The 18667-nt window shown below is 47.1% G+C and overlaps 1 protein-coding gene across 1 annotated transcript, besides 6 other annotated features; it reads left to right on the top strand.

Moving 5' to 3' along the window:
• Window positions 3696-3896: a silencer, noted in NCBI's record as "fragment chrX:48426332-48426532 (GRCh37/hg19 assembly coordinates)". NCBI's record gives its function as "represses an EF-1alpha promoter that drives an FKBP-Casp9 reporter gene in an ReSE screen in both phorbol 12-myristate 13-acetate-treated (for megakaryocytic differentiation) and untreated K562 erythroleukemia cells {active_cell/tissue: K562 | K562(+PMA)}" and the evidence as "EXISTENCE:reporter gene assay evidence [ECO:0000049][PMID:32094911]".
• Window positions 9369-10354: a transcriptional cis regulatory region, noted in NCBI's record as "promoter|chrX:48432005-48432990 region (GRCh37/hg19 assembly coordinates) targeted for CRISPR interference". NCBI's record gives its function as "negatively regulates PLP2 gene expression in K562 cells {active_cell/tissue: K562}" and the evidence as "EXISTENCE:mutant phenotype evidence [ECO:0000015][PMID:31784727]".
• Window positions 9369-11310: a biological region, named in NCBI's record as "CRISPRi-FlowFISH-validated PLP2 regulatory element 4". NCBI's record gives its function as "regulatory_interactions: PLP2".
• Window positions 10111-11310: an enhancer, noted in NCBI's record as "MED14-independent group 3 enhancer chrX:48432747-48433946 (GRCh37/hg19 assembly coordinates)". NCBI's record gives its function as "activates an origin of replication core promoter dependent on BRD2, BRD4, P300/CBP and CDK7 cofactors, and independent of MED14, by STARR-seq in HCT116 cells {active_cell/tissue: HCT116}" and the evidence as "EXISTENCE:reporter gene assay evidence [ECO:0000049][PMID:35650434]".
• RBM3 (RNA binding motif protein 3) lies at window positions 10236-16914 on the top strand. Its single transcript, NM_006743.5, has 7 exons — window positions 10236-10325; window positions 10920-11035; window positions 11313-11419; window positions 12066-12171; window positions 12260-12356; window positions 12778-12861; window positions 13217-16914. The coding sequence occupies exons 2-6, from the start codon at window positions 10933-10935 to the stop codon at window positions 12836-12838; spliced, it is 474 nt and encodes a 157-aa protein (NP_006734.1). The 5' UTR covers window positions 10236-10325; window positions 10920-10932; the 3' UTR covers window positions 12839-12861; window positions 13217-16914.
• Window positions 10294-10563: an enhancer, noted in NCBI's record as "active region_29603". NCBI's record gives its function as "activates an Ori minimal core promoter by ATAC-STARR-seq in GM12878 lymphoblastoid cells {active_cell/tissue: GM12878}" and the evidence as "EXISTENCE:reporter gene assay evidence [ECO:0000049][PMID:35858748]".
• Window positions 14321-14530: a silencer, noted in NCBI's record as "fragment chrX:48436957-48437166 (GRCh37/hg19 assembly coordinates)". NCBI's record gives its function as "represses an EF-1alpha promoter that drives an FKBP-Casp9 reporter gene in an ReSE screen in K562 erythroleukemia cells {active_cell/tissue: K562}" and the evidence as "EXISTENCE:reporter gene assay evidence [ECO:0000049][PMID:32094911]".

Here is an 18667-nt window from a genome sequence, read left to right on the forward strand (position 1 = left end):
GGAAGCAGCCTAGCTGGGTAGTTTTGACTCATGGTCTCTCCTGACGTTTTACTCAAGTTGGCAGCCAGGACTGCAGTCAGATGACAGCTTCACTTGGCTGACAGACCCACTTCCAACATGGCCCACTCATCGGGCAGTTGGCAAAAGGCTTCAATTTCTCACCACCTGAGCATCTCCGTGGGGCTCCTCACAACATGTCATCCTAACGAGCAGGTGAGACCGTGACCAAGACGGAAGCCACAATGTCTACCTTAACCTCAGAAAAGACAGACCATCATTTCTGCTGTGTTACTGGTCACATAGACCAACCCTAGCACAACATGGGAGGGGACTATACAGGGCATGAATACCAGGAGGCAGGAATCATGGGGGGCTATATTGGAGGCCGCCTCCTACACTGGGTAACATATAATATCTGAAGCAGAAGTATTGAGACAGATGAAAAATTTTAAATAAACATAATAAATAAAAACTATTAGAATATAGGGCTGGGCGTGGTGGCTCACGCCTGTAATCCCAACACTTTGGGAGGCCGAGGTGGGCAGATCACAAGGTCAGGAGATGACACCATCCTGGCTAACATGGGGAAACCCCGTATCTACTGAAAATAGAAAAAATTAGCCAGGTGTGGTGGCACACGCCTGTAGTCCCAGCTACTTGGGAGGCCGAGGCAGGACAGTCGCTTGCTTGAACTTGGGAGGCGGAGGTTGCAGTGAGCCGAGATAACGCCACTACACTCCAGCCTGGGCGACACAGCGAGACGCCATCTCAAAAAAAAAATTAGAATACAAAACAGGAACTAGAGATTATAAAAAGGACCCCCAAAAATGTTAGGTGTGAGTATGATGGTAGAGAAAAACAAAACAGCCCAGCGTGGTGGCTCACGCATGTAATCCCAGCACTTTGGGAGGCCGAGGCAGGAACATCACTTGAGCTCAAGAGTTTACCAGCCTGGGCAACGTGGCAAAATCCCATCTCTACATAAAATACATCTCTACATAAAATACGGGTGTGGTGGTGTACCCCTATGGCCCTGGCTACTTGGGAGGCTGAGGTGGGAGAATCACTTGAGCCCAGGAGGTTGAAGCTGCAGTGAGCTGAGATCGTGCCATTGCACTCCAGCCTGGATGACAAAAGCAAGAACCTGTCTCAAAAAAATAATAATACAAATAAAAAAACTGTAAATGGAGAATATGGAATGAGATGTCCCAGTAGTAATTACAAAAATATTTGAAACACAGAGACCCTCATTGGATTAAAAAAAAAAGTCCAATAGCATACACACACACAAAGATTTAGAAATGTTGAAAATGAAAGGATGGCCGGGCGCAGTGGCTCACGCCTGTAATCCCAACACTTTGGGAGGCTGAGGCGGGCGGATCATGAGGTCAGGAGATCAGGAGATCGAGACCATCCTGGCTAACATGGTGAAACCCTGTCTCTACTAAAAACACAAAAAATTAGCCGGGCATGGTGGCAGGCGCCTGTAGTCCCAGGTACTCGGGAAGCTGAGGCAGGAGAATGGCGTGAACCCGGGAGGCGGAGCTTGCAGTGAGCCGAGATCGCACCACTGCACCACTGCGCTCCAGCCTGGGCGACAGAGCGAGACTCCGTTTCAAAAAAAAAAAGAGAAAAAAAATTAGCCGGGCGTGGTGGCGGACGCCTCTAGTTCCACTGTAGTCCCAGCTGCTCAGGAGGCTGAGGCAGGAGAATGGCGTGAACCCGGGAGGCAGAGCTTGCAGTAAGCCGAGATCAGGCCACTGCACTCCAGCCTGGGTGACAGAGCAAGACTCTGTCTCAAAAAAAAAAAAACAAAAAACGAAAAGATGAAGAAAGGATATGGCACATTAAAAGCCCAAAGAAAGCTAAGATAGCTATCCTAATAGCTAAGAAAATAGGTCGGGTGCAGTGGCTCTTGCCTATAATCCCAGCACTTTGGGAGGCCGAGACGGACAGATCACTTGAGGCAAGGAGTTCAAGACCAGCCTGGCCAACATGGTGCAACCCCGTCTCTACTAAAAATACAAAAATTAGCCTAGAATGGTGGCATATGCCTATAATCCCAGCTACTTAGGAGGCTGAGGCAGGAGAATCGCCTGAACCCAGGAGGCGGAGGTTGCAGTGAGCTGAGATTATGCCACTGCATTCCAGCCTGGGTGACAGATGGAGACTCTCAAAAAGAAAAAAGTTGGTAAAAGAGCAGAGGAACAAACCCAAAGGATTGAGTCATGGAGGAAATAATACGAGGAAGGAAAAAGATACAATAGAGAATTGTAAAGTAATAATAAAGATTAACAGAATAGGCCAGGTGCGGTGGCTCACACCTGTAATTCCAGCACTTTGGGAGGCTAAGGCAGGCCTATCACTTGAGGCCAGGAGTTCAAGACCAGCCTGGCCAACATATGAAACCCCATCTCTACTAAAAATACAAAAATTAGCTAGGCATGGTGGTGCATGCCTGTAGTCCCAGCTACTCAGGAGGCTGAGGCAGGAGAATTGCTTGAACCTGGGAGGCGGACCGGAGGTTGCAGTGAGCCAAGATTGTGCCACTGCACACCAGCCTGGGTGACAGAGTAAGACTCCATCTCAAAAAAAAAAAAAAAAAAAAACACCAGGCACAGTGGCTCAGGCCTGTAATCCCAGTGCTTTCAGAGGCCGAGGCAGGTGGATCACTTGAAGGTCAGGAGTTTGAGACCAGCCTGGCCAACATGGTGAAACCCCGTCTCTACTAAAAATACAAAAAAAAATTAGGTGGGCGTGGTGGCTCACGCCTGTAATCCCTGCACTTTGGGAGGCCAAGGTGGACAGATCACCTGAGGTCAGGAGTTTGAGACCAGACTGACCAATATGGAGAAACCTCGTCTCCTAAAAATACAAAATTAGCCGGGTGTGGTGGCGCATACCTGTAATCCCATCTACTCGGGAGGCTGAGGCAGGAGAATCATTTGAACCTGGGAGGCAGAGGTTGTAGTGGGCTGAGATTGCACTCCAGCCTGGGTGACAAAGCGAGACTTCTCAAAAAAAAAAAAAAAAGCTGGTACTTTGAAAATAATTAATAATGATAGACCTTTGCCAAGACTGATTTAAAACAATGCAATGCAAAATGCATAACAAAGGAAAATTATAGATACAAAAAGGCTACAAATTGTAAGCTAATACACTTGAAAACATAGATGAAAAACAAAAATTTCAGGAAACATTAAAATGTGTTCAAATGAATGCAAAAAGAAATAGAAAGCTTGAATATAACTTGAATATACAATAAATTTTAGGAAAAATTAAAATGATAATCAAAGATACCCCATCTTATTGTAATAAACAGCCTCAGGCCCAGCCCCAGACGGTTTTGCAGATTATAGTTCTATTAAACTTTCAAGGAACTGTAATTCCCATCTTATACAAATTGTTCCAGAAGATAGGAAAAGAGAAAAAGCCATACACCTCATTTTATGAGGCTAAAATAGTTTTGATTCTAAAACCAGATAAGGAAAATACTAAACAGTAAATTTATAGACCCACTGGACTTATGAATATAGATGCAAAAATTCTAATAAAATATTAGCTACCTGAATTCAATAGTGCGTTTTGTTTTAAATCATAAGTAGGGTTTATCCCAGGAATACAATTGATCCAAATTAGAAAATTAGTGAATGCAGGCCGGGTGTGGTGGCTCGCACTTGTAATCCCAGTACTTTCGGAGGCTGAGGCAGGCGGATTACGAGGTCTGGAGTTCGAGACCAACCTGGCCAACACAGTGAAACCCCGTCTCTACTAAAAATACAAAAATCAGCTGGGCGTGGTGGCAGGCGTCTGTAATCCCAGCTACTCAGGAGGCTGAGGCAGGAGAATCGCTTGAACCTGGGAGGCGGAGGTTGCAGTGAGCCGAGATCATGCCACTGCACTCCAGCCTAGGTGTCAGAGGTAGACTCCGTCTAAAAAAAAAAAAAAGAAAAGAAAATTAGTGAATGCAATTTACCATATTAATAAAGGAAGAAATTATATGATAATCTCAAAGCAGAAAAGGATTTGATAAGGTTCAGTGCCTGTTTATGATATTTAAAAGGGGGCTGGGCATGGTGGCTCGTGCCTGTAATCCTCATACTTTAGGAAGCTGAGGCAGGTGGATCACTTGAGCCCAGGAGTTTGAGACCAGCCTGGGCAACATGGCAAAACCCCATCACTACAAGAAAAAAAAAAAAGAACTCTTTGCAAACAAAAGTAGAAGAAAACTTCTTTAACTTCATACATAGCAAAATATTACAGCAAAAAATGCTTAATAGGGAATTTTTTTTTTTTTGAGACGGAATCTCACTCTTGTTGCCCAGGCTGGAGTGCGATGGCACAATCATGGCTCACTGCAACCTCCGCCTCCCGGGTTCAAGCAATTCTCTTGCTTCAGCCTCTCAAGTAGCTGGGATTAACAGGCGCCCACCACCACACCCAGCTAATTTTCGTATTTTTAGTAGAGACAGCATTTCACCATGTTGGCCAGGCTGGTCTCAAACTCCTGACCTCAGGTGATCCACTGGCCTCAGCCTCCCAAAGTGCTGGGATTACAGGCATGAGCCACCAAACCTGGCCAATAGAGAATTTTTAAATGCATTTCCCTTTAAGATCAGGGACAAGGCAAGGATGTTCACTCAATACTACTCTTTAATATAAAACCACCTAATGCTATGAGGAAAAATAAATGAGGTATACATTGTAGAAGGAATTGATAAAACTCATTTGCAAATTATATGAGTGACTACCTTAAAGAACCAACAGAGTCGGGCGCGGTGGCTCACGCCTGTAATCCCAGCATTTTGGGAGGCCGAGGCGGGCGGATCACGAGGTCAGGAGATGGAGACCATCCTGGCTAACACGGTGAAACCCCATCTCTACTAAAAGCACAAAAAATTAGCCAAGTGTGGTGGCGGGCACCTGTAGTCCCAGCTACTCAGGAGGCTAAGGCAGGAGAATGGTGTGAACCCGGGAGGTGGAGCTTGCGGTGAGCCAAGATTGTGCCACTGCACTCCAGCCTGGGTGACAGAGCGAGACTCCATCTCAAAAAAAAAAAAAAAAAGAACAAACAGAATGACAAAAACAACTAATAGGACTAATAAGAGAGTTCAGCAGCCAGGCGTGGTGGCTCACACCTGTAATCCCTGCACTTTGGGAGGCTGAGGCGGATGGATCACCTGAGGTCAGGAGTTCGAGATCAGCATGGCCAACATGAGGAAACCCCATCTCTACTAAAAATACAAAAAATTAGCTGGGCGTGGTGGCACGTGCCTGTAATCCCAGCTACTCAGGAGGCTGAGGCAGGAGAATCACTTGGAACCCGGGAGGTGGAGTTTGCAGTGAGCCGAGATCGCACCACTGCACTCCAGCCTTGGCAACAATAGTAAAACTCCATCTTAAAAAAAAAAAAAGGGGTTCAGCAAGGTTTCCCAATACAAAATCAACATCAACCTGTAAAAATCAAAAGCATTTCTGTATAGCAGCAATAACCAACAAAAAAAAAAAGTAGGAATGAATTTAATACAAGAGACCTCTATTTTAAAGAATTTAAACTCTAACAATAGAAATTGATCTGAATAAAAGAGAGACATTTTATGCTCTTTGCTGGAAAGATTTTGGTAATATATAAGTTATTTTTAACAAATTATCCCAAAACTTAGTGGCTAAAACAATACACATTTATTATTTCACATGGTTTTGGAGAGTCAGGATTCTGAGAGTGGCTTAACTGGGTGGTTCTGACTCAGAGCCTCTCATGAGGCTACAATCAGGATGTTGGCCAGGACTGCAGTTATCTGAAGGCTGGGATCCACCTTTAAGAAGGCTTGCTCACATGGCTGTTGGCAAGAGGCCTTACTTTCTTGCCACCTAGATCCCTCCATAGGGCTGCTCATGACATACCAGCTAATGTCCCACATAATGAGCAGTCTGTGTGACAGAGAGCATGAAGCAGATGTGCCTTTTACAGCCTGGTCTTGGAAATGACACACTATCACTTCCACCTCATTCTGTGCTTTACAATTGAGTCACTAAGTCCAGCACACATGCAAGTGGAAGGAAGTTAGGCTCCAACTCTTGACGAGTACAGTATCAGAGTGTGACCATATCTTAAAACCTCCACAGTTAATATTATTAAGATGTTATTTTGGCCGGGCATGGTGGCTCACACCTGTAATCCCAGCACTTTGGGAGGCCGAGGTGGGTGGATCACCTGAGGTCAGGAGTTTGAGACCAGCCTGACCAACATAGACAAACCCCGTCTCTGCTAAAAATACAAAATTAGCCGAGCATAATGGTGGGTGCCTGTAGTTCCAGCTACCCAGGAGGCTGAAGCAGGAGAATTGCTTGAACCCGGGAGGCGGAGGTTGCAGTGAGCCGAGATTGCACCATTTTACTCCAGCCTGGGCAACAAGAGCGAAACTCCATCTCAAAAAAAAAGACGTTATTTCTCCCAAAATGTAAAAATTCAATGCACTCTCAATAACACTTCCATTACTTTTTTTTTTAATGTTTTGAAACAGGGTCTCACTTTGTTGCCCAGGCTGGAGTGCAGTGGCACGATCATAGCTCACTGCAGACTCCAACTCCTGGGTTCAAGCGATCCTCCTGCCTCAGCCTCCCAGGTAGCTGGGATTTGGGCGAGAGCCACCATGCCTGACCTCATTACTTCTTTTTGTTAGAACTGCAATACACTTACATTAGAATTTAGAATAGTAATGAATCATGGACAGTTAAGACAGCCTTCAAAGAAAGCGTTATGATGGGGATTTGCCCACTAGATATTAAGACATATTAAAGGTGTTAGTAATAAAAGGGAAAAAAAAAACAACAACAAACCTATATTGGCCCAAGAGCTAAGAAGTAGACCAATTAGAAGAGAAGGCCGGGCACGGTGGCTCACACCTGTAATACCAGCACTTTTGGAGGCCGAGGTGGGCAGATCACAAGGTCAGGAGATCCAGACCACGGTGAAACCCCGCCTCTACTAAAAAATACAAAAAAAAAAAATTGGCTGGGTGCGGTAGCAGGCGCCTGTAGTCCCAGCTACTCGGGAGGCTGAGGCGTGAACCTGGAAGGCAGAGCTTACAGTGAGCCGAGATCGCGCCACTGCACTCCAGCCTGAGCGACAGAGCGAGACTCCGTCTCAAAAAAAAAGACCATCCTGGCCAACATGGTGAAACCCCATCTCTACTAAAAATACAAAAATTAGCTGGGCGTGGTTGCACGCGCCTGTAGTCCCAGCTACTCAGGAGGCTGAGGCAGGAAAATCACTTGAACCCAGGAGGCGGAGGTTGCAGTGAGCCAAGATCGCGCCACTGCACTCCAGCCTGGCGACAGAGTGAGACTCTGTCAAAAAAAAAAAAAAAGCTCAGAAGTCAGGTACAATAGTGCTCCCCTGTAATCCCAGTTACTCAGGAGGCTGAGTTGGGGAGAATGCTTGAGGCCAGGAGTCAGCCTGGGCTCATCTCTTAAAAACAACAATAACAACAAAACCAGCAACAAACCACCTCAGAGACAGACCCATATATCTATGGAACTTGATACATGATAGAGGTGGTAAAACACACACAGGGATGGGACAGATTGCTTAATAGATGGTGATGGGGCATCTGGCTCATGACACAGAGAAAAATAAAATTGGAGCTCTATCTCACACCATATACAAGGACGAACTCTACATGGATTAAAGACCTAAATGTGGCCGGGTGCGGTGGCTCATGCCTGTAATCCCAGCACTTTGGGAGGCCGAGGCAGGCGAATCACTTGAGGCCAGGAGTTCAAGACCAGCCTGGCCAACATGGCAAAAACCTGTCTCTACTAAAAATGCAAAAATTAGCCAGGTGTGGTGGCACACACCTGTAATCCTAGCTACGCAGCAGGCTGAGGCAGGAGAATTGCTTGAACCCAGGAGGCGGAGGTTGCAGTGAGCCGAGATAGTGCCATTGCACTCCAGCCTGGGCAACAAGAGCGAAACTCTGTCAAAAAAAAAAAAAAAGAAAGAAAGAAAGAAACTGTAGGGGAACATTTTGTGACCTGGGAAAGAGAATGATTTCTTTAAAAGCACAGACCAGGCCGGGCGTGGTGGCTCACGCCTGTAATCCCAGCACTTTGGGAGGCCGAGGCAGGCGGATCATGAAGTCAGGAGTTTGAGAACAGCCTGAACAACATGGTGAAACCTCATCTCTACTAAAAATACAAAAATTAGCTGGGCATAGTGGCACATGCCCGTAATCCCAGCTACTCAGGAGACTAAAGCAGGAGAATCACTTGAACCTGGGAGGCGGAGGTTGCAGTGAGCTGAGATCATGCCACTGCACTCCAGCCTGAGCGACAGAGTGAGACTCCGTCTCAGAAAAAAGCACAGAACATAGGGGGAAAAATGATTATATCAAAATTATGGATCTTTATTCAACTAAGTTTACTGCTTACAAAGTTAATAACACAAATGCCAGAGCTGGAGAGGCTATTTCCAACACCTAAGGGATTAATAATTAGACTATGTGAGGAATCCCTGACAATAACAGGAAGATAAATATGGGAATTACCCCAACAGGAATATGGATGTACTGTATTCTGTATGTTAGCAAATTTGGTCTGTGTTGGGCAAATTCATTCTATGGATAAGAAATTTAGCCTCTGAGGGCAAACTAACTTATTCTTCGTTGATGTGGCGCTCAGAAGTGAAAAATCTGTCAAATCCATTTATTGTAAAGGTGGCCAAGACACTGAAGACTAAATTGTGAACAGTGGGCTCAGACACTACTTGATTGGGATAAGTCTATTGTGTATTGCGAAAGTCCCTTCTGTGAATCAAGGGCTCAGTTACTTTTTTTTTTTTTTTGAGACTGAGTCTTGCTCTGTCGCCCAAGCTGGAGTGCAGTGGCATGATCTCAGCTCACTGCAACCTCCACCTCCCGGGTTCAAGCGATTATCCCGCCTCAGCCTCCTGAGTAGCTGGGACTACAGGTGCCTACCACCACGCCCGGCTAATTTTTTTTTTTTTTTGTATTGTTAGTAGAGACAGGGTTTCACCATATTGGCCAGGGTAGTCTTGAACTCCTGACCTTGTGATCTGCCCACTTCGGCCTCCCAAAGTGCTGGGATTACAGGCATGAGCCACTGCGCCCGGCAAGGGCTCAGTTACTTTCGAAGAGAGCAAAAATTGCTCTATGGATTGGGATTTACAACCTCTGAAGATCGTAGCATCCTCTTTTGTTTTGTTTTGTTTTCACCCAGGCTGGAGTGCAATGGCGTGGTCTCGGCTCACTGCAACCTCCGCCTCCCGGGTTCAAGCGATTTTCCAGCCTCAGCCTCCCGAGTAGGTGGGACTACAGGCACGTGCCACCACACCCAGCTAATTTTTTTTTTCTTTTTTTTTTTTTTTTTTTTTTTTTGTATTTTTAGTAGAGATGGGGTTTCACCATGTTGGCCATGCAGGTCTCGAACTCCTGAACTCGTGAACCGCCCGCTTTGGCCTCCCAAAGTGCTGGGAATACAGGCGTGAGCCACCGCGCCCGGCCAGCATCCTGTTTTGTAAAAGCCATCTCAGGCAGTCTATTGGTGAGAAAATTAAGGGGCTGGCTTCACGCCAGCAGTCAGACAAGGGTGAGGGCTGAAGTCAGAGATGAGATGGAATGACGCCAGGGAAAAGGGTCCCATGACAGGCGGCTAGATGTTGAGCACAGAGGAGAAAGAGTAGGAGTCAGGGTCAAACCTTAAAACGTTGGGTCTGACATCATGGACTGTGAAGGGTGATGACATCAGTGACGGTGGGGGATAAAATGTCAGGCCTTTAAAGGGTATGAGGTTAAAGAACTAGAAGGTGAAGGAGGTTAACATCAGAGAATGGCAGGGACCTAGAGGAAGACGACTACGATGGTGAGGAAGACATCCGATCCAGCGGGGGAAATGATGGCAAGGACGGGAGGATGATGTCAGGGACAGCAAGTAGTATGAGATTGAGAAGGTTCCTTTGTGGAAGGGATAAAGGCAGCTCAGCCGGTTGTGGGGGGGATGCTGACGTTTAGGGTGCACCAGCTGTTCAAAAGTCGACCCCATTTCCGGAAACACCCCATTTCCGGAAACACCCCATTTCGCGGAGAACACTGCTCCCTTCGCTTTGCTGTCCCTTCCTCTCCCCACCACTCCGCTCCTGCTGGCCTCAGCCAATCAGCACGCACGCCGGGACGCGCAAGGGGAACGTTCCGGGACGTTCTCGCTACGTACTCTTTATCAATCGTCTTCCGGCGCAGCCCCGTCCCTGTTTTTTGTGCTCCTCCGAGCTCGCTGTTCGTCCGGGTTTTTTACGTTTTAATTTCCAGGTAAGTTGCATATGTCCTGCGAAACGGCGGCTCCTCGCCACACACGCGCCGCGCCGGCCGTGACCGGGGAATAGCGAGTGGGGAGAGTAATGGCCACTGACACGTAGGCTTGGCTTTCTCTGGGACGGGCGGGTCCCGTGCTTGGAGGTGAAACATTTCGGTTGGTGGGAGGCCGGCGCGCTGTATCTGAGTGTGAGGCCTACCGGGAGGGACTGGTGGCGTCGGTGGTGGCAGTGACCACGCGACAGCCGACACTTACTTTCCTTATCCCACGTGGCCGCCGCCATCTTGTTCTGCCGGCGTTAAGGGAACGCAGGGATGTTCTGGGCTTGCGCAGTGGCACAAAATGACGGGCGTGGCGGCTATGAATGTGAGAGCATGCGCAATGTGGCCCCCTAATGGTGGCTGCGCTGAGCCAGCTCCTCAGATTACCACCTTATTGGCCGCCTTTCTCAGCTTTTCTGTAGTTACCCATATTTTGTTCCTCTTTCTTGTCTATTTTCTGTGCTTTTTCTCTGCTTTCCGTCTCGCTATTTTCTCACATCTCCATTTTCTTTCTCCTTCCTGCCACCATTCTTCATGTTCTTCCCACAGGACTTGAACTGCCATGTCCTCTGAAGAAGGAAAGCTCTTCGTGGGAGGGCTCAACTTTAACACCGACGAGCAGGCACTGGAAGACCACTTCAGCAGTTTCGGACCTATCTCTGAGGGTGAGACGGGCCATACTCACAATGGGGGTTGGTGAGAGAAAGTCTGGGATCCTTGCATTTCAAGGAGTATTAACTGAAAAGTTAGGACCCACGCCTCCAAATTCTTTTTCTTCCTAAGCCTATGGTGTAGACTAAGGATGAGGGGAAGCGTCTTTGGGATTAGTGGGAGCGCTCCGTTTTCCCTACCTATGCCATCTCCTTTTCCGGCCACCCTTTGCTACTTAACCTTTGGGGTACTGACTGGTCCACATTGCTCCATCTTCTCTCCCTCTCACAGTGGTCGTTGTCAAGGACCGGGAGACTCAGCGGTCCAGGGGTTTTGGTTTCATCACCTTCACCAACCCAGAGCATGCTTCAGTTGCCATGAGAGCCATGAACGGAGAGGTGGGGCCTCCTATCTGCAGAGGGACCTTGTCCCCATCTGCGGCTTCCTTCATTCTTTTTGTTTTTCCCTCTGTGTCTGCTCGGGGCAGCGTGGCCACCAAGCCCCGCAGTGCCCACTCACAGGAGCATGACTGCCTTTTGTTCTAGGGGGTGGAGGGCAGCGGCAGACAGAGCCTGGCCGCCTGGGAGGCGACGACTGGTCCTGCATGAGGCCGAGAAGCCACCTGTGGATGGTTGACCTGCCTTGGGCTTAGGTAGTAGAGTCTGCAGACCTGTGGGCCTGGCCCGGAGAGGACCTCGTGAGTCTTCTGACATGGACTCTGAAGCCTCAAACCAAGAGAGGTGTCTGTCTAGCCCTGATAGTCGGGCAGCTTAGAGGAGTGGGGAGGAGAACTCAGCCTGAGTTCAGTCAAGATGTAAGTAGTAGCAAGGGGAACATGGTGCATTCAGGTCATTTTGTGTGGGATTCTATAGCTCCTGATGAAGCCATTCTGGGGTAAAGGAGCTTATTCTGGAACATGGCACCCAGAACCTGGTGCCCAGCAGGAATTTTTGGCCTCTTTTGCCCACTTACCCTTGCCTGCTCTTCCCTCACCATTGCCCTGACTGACTGCCAACCCATCATCCTTGTGTCTCCCACACTTAGTCTCTGGATGGTCGTCAGATCCGTGTGGATCATGCAGGCAAGTCTGCTCGGGGAACCAGAGGAGGTGGCTTTGGGGCCCATGGGCGTGGTCGCAGCTACTCTAGAGGTGAGTGCAGTGATCGTTTTGATCATGGGGTGAGAGGGAGAGTTGCCTATGTGTGGACAACTGCCATTTAAATATTTTTCTGCTCTAGGTGGTGGGGACCAGGGCTATGGGAGTGGCAGGTATTATGACAGTCGACCTGGAGGGTATGGATATGGATATGGACGTTCCAGAGACTATAATGGCAGGTGGGTAGCCAAAGGGCTGGGATGTTCTCCTATTGCTTCCCTCTCCTTAAGAACTCAGCGCCTGGGTGTTCATGCATACCACACCTTGCTGTTACTAATGTGTACCTAAAATGAGTATGAAATTTAGCATTTTAAGTTAATTGTGTAGTCATATAGTTGCGACATGGTAAAGTATACTATATATGTTGTGCTGTGTGGGTTATATAACTATATTGCTTTAACATGTAATATGATTTAATATACTGCGTATAAATCGTATGCCATAAAACTGTTTACTGTGATACTCATATGCTTAACATATCCTGTTTTTGATACGTAAGGTTTATGTTATGACCCATACTGTAAAATGTGACGCATATAATTACAGTGGTATATATAATGCAGTACCAGAAAACTTTTGTGTGTTTTTTTTCCCCCCCAGAAACCAGGGTGGTTATGACCGCTACTCAGGAGGAAATTACAGAGACAATTATGACAACTGAAATGAGACATGCACATAATATAGGTGAGACTTGGATATCGGCATTGAGTGAACCTGTTTGTCACACTCTGTCATGACCCTCTCACCTTTTCTGGCAAGACTGCTCTGCATTTCTGCTGCCCTCATACCTCACCCAGCCAACCTACCAAACATTCCTAGCTAGGCCTTCCTTGCTCTCAGGTGCATATCAGAGCAAGTTTGCTAGGGGGTGGGATCTGAAAACCCATCTCCTATAATCTTCTACTCTTGTGTGGGATGGAGGAAATGAAGGTGTGTCCCTGTTGTCCAACCCTCAGCATCTTCATCAGCTCTAGGAGGTGAGCATGTTGTCAGCTGTTACTTCATGACATCACAATTCTCCCCCTCTTGCTGTTCCCAGATACACAAGGAATAATTTCTGATCCAGGATCGTCCTTCCAAATGGCTGTATTTATAAAGGTTTTTGGAGCTGCACCGAAGCATCTTATTTTATAGTATATCAACCTTTTGTTTTTAAATTGACCTGCCAAGGTAGCTGAAGACCTTTTAGACAGTTCCATCTTTTTTTTTAAATTTTTTCTGCCTATTTAAAGACAAATTATGGGACGTTTGTAGAACCTGAGTATTTTTCTTTTTACCAGTTTTTTAGTTTGAGCTCTTAGGTTTATTGGAGCTAGCAATAATTGGTTCTGGCAAGTTTGGCCAGACTGACTTCAAAAAATTAATGTGTATCCAGGGACATTTTAAAAACCTGTACACAGTGTTTATTGTGGTTAGGAAGCAATTTCCCAATGTACCTATAAGAAATGTGCATCAAGCCAGCCTGACCAACATGGTGAAACCCCATCTGTACTAAACATAAAAAAATTAGCCTGGCATGGTGGTGTACGCCTGTAATCCCAGTGACTTGGGAGGCTGAGGCAGGAGAATCGCTTGAACCCGGGAGGCGGAGGTTGCAGTGAGCTAAGATCGCGCCACTGTACTCCAGCCTGGGCAACAGCGAGACTCCATCTCAAAAAAAAAGGAAATGTGTATCAAGAACATGATTATCCAGCGGTATTTTCTAATTCAGATCATCAAACTGATTATATAGAAGAGTTGGCTTTAAAATGTTTGCAAATGTCTTTTTTTTTTTAATACTGGAAGAAAAAATATTCTGTTGTGTCTCATACAGTGCTTAGGATGTCTTTCACAGAGCTTATTAAAAAGATGAAACCTGAGAACAAACTGCTTTATTCTTACTCAGCCCATTTTGCAAATTAAAAGTGGGGGCAGAGGTGGGCGGATCACCTGAGGTCAGGAGTTCGAGACCAGCCTGGCCAACAGGGCAAAACCCCATCTCTACTAAAAATACAAAAGTTAGCGGGGCGTGGTGGCGGGTGCATGTAATCCCAGCTACTCGGGAGGCTGAGGCAGGAGAATTGCTTGAACCCAGGAGGCGGAAGTTGCAGTGAGCTGAGATTGTGCCACTGCACTCCAGCCTAGGTGACAGCAAGACTCTGTCTCAAAAAAAAAAAAATGGCACATCAACGAGAGGGAGGCTTGGAGAATATTTGGTTGGTGGGTGGGCAGGGACTGCCAGAGGGTTAGGTGTACATTGAGGCCTGAGGCCTGCTGGAATTGGGTTTCCTTAACTGGTCTCTTATCTTAGTCCCATTGTTCTGAGAACATAAGCACCTAATCTCATGGCGTGAGCTAATCCCTATCATAAATAGTGGTACCAGTTCATTCCTTCCCCTGAAATGATGGGGGTTGGGCAGAGATGCACTGAACTCATCTTTGTGTATGAGGGCCATGAGAGAGGCCTGGTTTGAAAACAATGCTAAGAGCTCAGATTCCAGGATTTATGTAGGGGCTCTTCTACTTCCCAGGTATTTGACCTCAGGTGAGTCATTTAATTTCAGCCTTATGCCATTTTACATTTTCTGTGGAGGGTTAGGTTAATTGGCATATAAAGCCACTGAGAAGAGTTGGCAAAGCTCTCAGTCACGGGGATTTGATCTTTTTTGGTGTGTGTGTGTCTTGGGTGGTAAAGTGGTAATTTTGTAATTCTAGCTGGTCTTAGTTCCTCAGTTCTGCTCCCTTTAGTCATGGTTCTTTCTAGTGGCTGTATTGAGGCCCCATGGGTGTTATCCCTCCATTGGTTCTAGTTTGGAACAGAAAAATCTGTTGTATTCATGGCTTTCACCTGGCTAATACTGAGCTAAGTTACCACCAGGTTGCAAACTCCAGGACATTATTGTCCTGAGCTGCCTATTCCCTTGCTGGTGCGTTGTGGAACCCTGTATTATTAGTTCCAGTCCTGGAGGCCTGCCTCCTGAGTTTCCCAGCTAGTTGGGACAGGCCCCAATATCCCTTCTTCCTGTAACCCAAACAGTCATGAATTTGCTTTGGCAGGTGGATGGAGACTTGGGAACTTCCACCTCACCCACTAAGCCAGGCCCAGGCTATGGGGCATTGTGGCTAACCCCACCAGGTGGATACTTGGTCTGAGGACGCATCTTATTCTGGGCCTTTAGGGAGCTAAGGCAGTGAGAATTGGCAGGAGGACTGCTGTGAATGCCTTGTAGGTCGGGGGATTGGAGGGGGTCCTCTGCTCCCTGTCTCTCAGGATGGCAATGTACCTCTCACCCCCAGTGTCAGCTGAGGTAGGATCCATAATCAGTAATATTCCTGCAACAAAATGTTCCTAAGTGGAATCAATGAAGACCAAAATTTATTTGTATAACAACTCTAAACCTGCTCTGCTCTGCTGTGTTTACAATGTGCTTTGTGATCATCCAGCCCAGGGAGTCCCAGTCTCTGGCTGTCTATCTGCTCTAAGGAAGAGAGCCCACAGTTCTCTATAGTGCCATAGTCTGTGATGAATAAAGTTCCAGATTTGAGGTCAACCCCCGACCACCCTTAAAGTGCTTGTTGGTCTCCTACTTTGGTTTGTCTTCAGCATCCAACTGATGCACATTTGTCAAGAACCCACTGAGGCTAGAAACCCCCCAAACACTCAAGGTACCTTGAGAACATGTATCCCAAGACCTGCAAAGACCAAACACATGGCCTGTAACTACTTTTCACTTTCAAGCCCTGGAACTTGTCTGTACCAAAAATCTTTCTGAACCATTCACCAAATCTCTTGTCAAGGGCCAGAATAAATTAAGAGATTGGCTTTTGGTTTTCAATTAGGCTTTCAAGTCCTAAGCCCAACCCCTCCTATCCCACCTAGGCAGAAATCACTTCAGATCCTTGCTTCCTAGTTTAATTTCTTCTCTGCCTCAGTTATAACATCCATAAAATGGAAATAATAATACCCACCTCACACAGGGGTTAGGAGTGTTTTTTTGTTGGTTTTTTTCCAGACAGGGTCTCACTCTGTCTCCCAGGCTGGAGTGCAGTGGCACAATCTCGGCTCACTGTACCCTCCGCCTCCCAGGTTCAAGCAGTTCTCATGCCTCAGCCTCCCAAGTAGCTGGGATTACAGGTGCCTGCCACCACGCCCGGCTAATTTTTGTATTAATAGAGACAGGGTTTCACCGTGTTGGGCAGGCTGGTCCTGAACTCCTGACCTCAAGTGATCCACCCGCCTCGGCCTCCCAAAGTGCTGGGATTACAGGCGTGAGCCACCACACCTGGCCTAGGAGTTAAGAGTATTAAATGTTAAGAACAGACCAAGTCCATCAAACAGCTCCACACCCTTGTTCCATGTTCTGGATTGGGGAGTTGTGGGGGTGGAGGTGTAGAACTTTTAAAAAGCTTCTTAAAATAAGTTGCTGTGAATACTTCAGGTATATAAAAAAACATTGGTTGACAATAAGCCAGTGTTCTGCCATTCTTACCTGCTTATCAAGACAAAACCTGCTCAAGTCCCTGCCCAGCTGCATTCCAAGTGTTTTCAAGTTTGGTGGTAAGACCTGACCTGAGGCTTCTTATAACCTTTACTCAGTGGGAATATGCATACAGTTCACTACAGAAATATTTGTATTTACTTAGAGGAAGTGCCCTGGATCTGGGGGCGGGGGGGGGCGGGGGGAATGGGTCTTTTCTAAATTGTTAAAAGCAGTTCATGCCATTATTCTTAATAAACATTTCTAATATGCTGTGAAAGAGTATATTCGTTTTTTTAATGCATATATCCATTTACTCATTGTTCCCATGAAAGAGCCTTGTATGCAAACCTCCAAATGCCGAAGGAGCCAAGAAACAAGGCAGACAAAAATTGTTAGTAAAGGGTTCTTTACTGGGGGGACTTAGAAGCATGACGTGGGGACGGGCGCAGTGGCTCACACCTGTCATCCCAACACTTTGGGAAGCCGAGGTGGGTGGATCACCTGATGTCAGGAGTTTGAGACCAGCCTGGCCAACATGATGAAACCCCGTCTCTACTAAATACAAAAATTAATCGAGTGTAGTGGCGCACACCAAGTAATCCCAGCTTCTTGGGAGGCTGAGGCACAAGAATGGCTTGAACCCGGGAGGTGGAGATTGCAGTGAGCCCAGATCGTGCCACTGCACTCCAGCCTGAGCGACAGAGCACAACTGTCTCAAAAATAAGCATGGCCTTGGGTGGCAGCAAGATAACCATGCTGTTGCTCTTCAACCCACGGCTTACATACCATAGGGAAAGAGTGTGCTCAAGATGAAGGCAACTCCAGAACAGGCATAATACTCTATGCATCATCATCTAATTTGTGCGATAATGTAAAAGTTGACAAGCTCTTTTTTTTTTTTTTTTTTTTGAAACGGAGTCTCGCTCTGTGGCCCTGGCTGTGGCGCGATCTGGGCTTTCTGTGGCCCAGGCTGGAGTACTGTGGCGCGATCTGGGCTCACTGCAAGCTCCGCCTCCCGGGTTCATGCCATTCTCCTGCCTCAGCCTCCGGAGTAGCTGGGACTACAGGAGCCCGCCACTACGCCCGGCTATTTTTTTGTATTTTTTAGTAGAGAGGAGGTTTCACCGTGTTAGCCAGGATGGTCTCGATCTCCTGGCCTCGTGATCCACCCGCCTCGGCCTCGCAAAGTGCTGGGATTACAGGCGTGAGCCACCGCGCCCGGCCCCTGACAAGCTCTTAAACTAGGGATGGCAAAGGAGGAATCAGGCATTTACAGGACTGGCGCTAGTCAGAAGTAAACGTGGTGGATTGGCATCCAAGATGGAGTAACTTTTGTCTCCACACTCTTGCTGAAGGCTGGAAAATCAGCATGTGAGTCTGTCTTGTAAAAGGTAATTGGGCATGCGCTACTCAAAAAATCATTTGGGGCCCGGTGCGGTGGCTCACGCCTGTAATCCCAGCACTTTGGGAGTCCCAGGCAGGTGGATCACCTGAGGTCAGGAGTTCAAGACCAGCCTGGGCAACATGGTGAAACCCCATCTCTACAAAAGTACACAAATTAGCCAGGCCTAATTGCAGGCACCTGTAATCCCAGCTACTCGGGAGGCTGAGGTGGGAGAGTTGCTTGAACCAGGGAGGCAGAGGTTGCAGTGAGCCGAGATTGCGCCATTGCATTCCAGCCTGGGTGACAGAGTGAGACTCTGTCTCAAAAAAAAAAGGAAAACCATTTGGTAAAGGAGAAAGTGGAGTCCTAGACGGGGGAGTTCAGTGTCAGCCTGCATTGAAATCATCCGGTTTATGGGACTTGGTTGCCTTGTGTGCTGGCTTGGACTCCATGGTATCCAAAGTGCACAGTGCATGAAACATGAAGAATTTGCAACTTAACATCAGTTTATATGTTGCTATCCAAGTTTATCTACCATGAGGCTTAACTCATACAAAAACCTTTACTTAGGGAATGTGCCTACTTGAGAAAGCAAGTTCACCTACTCATCATCCAGCTATTTTCCTTGCTAGTTATCATAGATAAC

The sequence above is a fragment of the Homo sapiens genome, chromosome X (assembly GCF_000001405.40).
Source record: "Homo sapiens chromosome X, GRCh38.p14 Primary Assembly".
Lineage (NCBI taxonomy): Eukaryota > Metazoa > Chordata > Mammalia > Primates > Hominidae > Homo > Homo sapiens.

Excerpts from the sequence above, each read along its gene's own strand:
- RBM3 (NM_006743.5), top strand. The coding sequence starts at position 10,933 with ATGTCCTCTGAAGAAGGAAAGCTCTTCGTGGGAGGGCTCAACTTTAAC. Across the intron at positions 11,036-11,312 it reads TTTCGGACCTATCTCTGAGG|TGGTCGTTGTCAAGGACCGG; the intron begins GTGAGACGGGCC and ends TCCCTCTCACAG. Across the intron at positions 11,420-12,065 it reads TGAGAGCCATGAACGGAGAG|TCTCTGGATGGTCGTCAGAT; the intron begins GTGGGGCCTCCT and ends TCCCACACTTAG.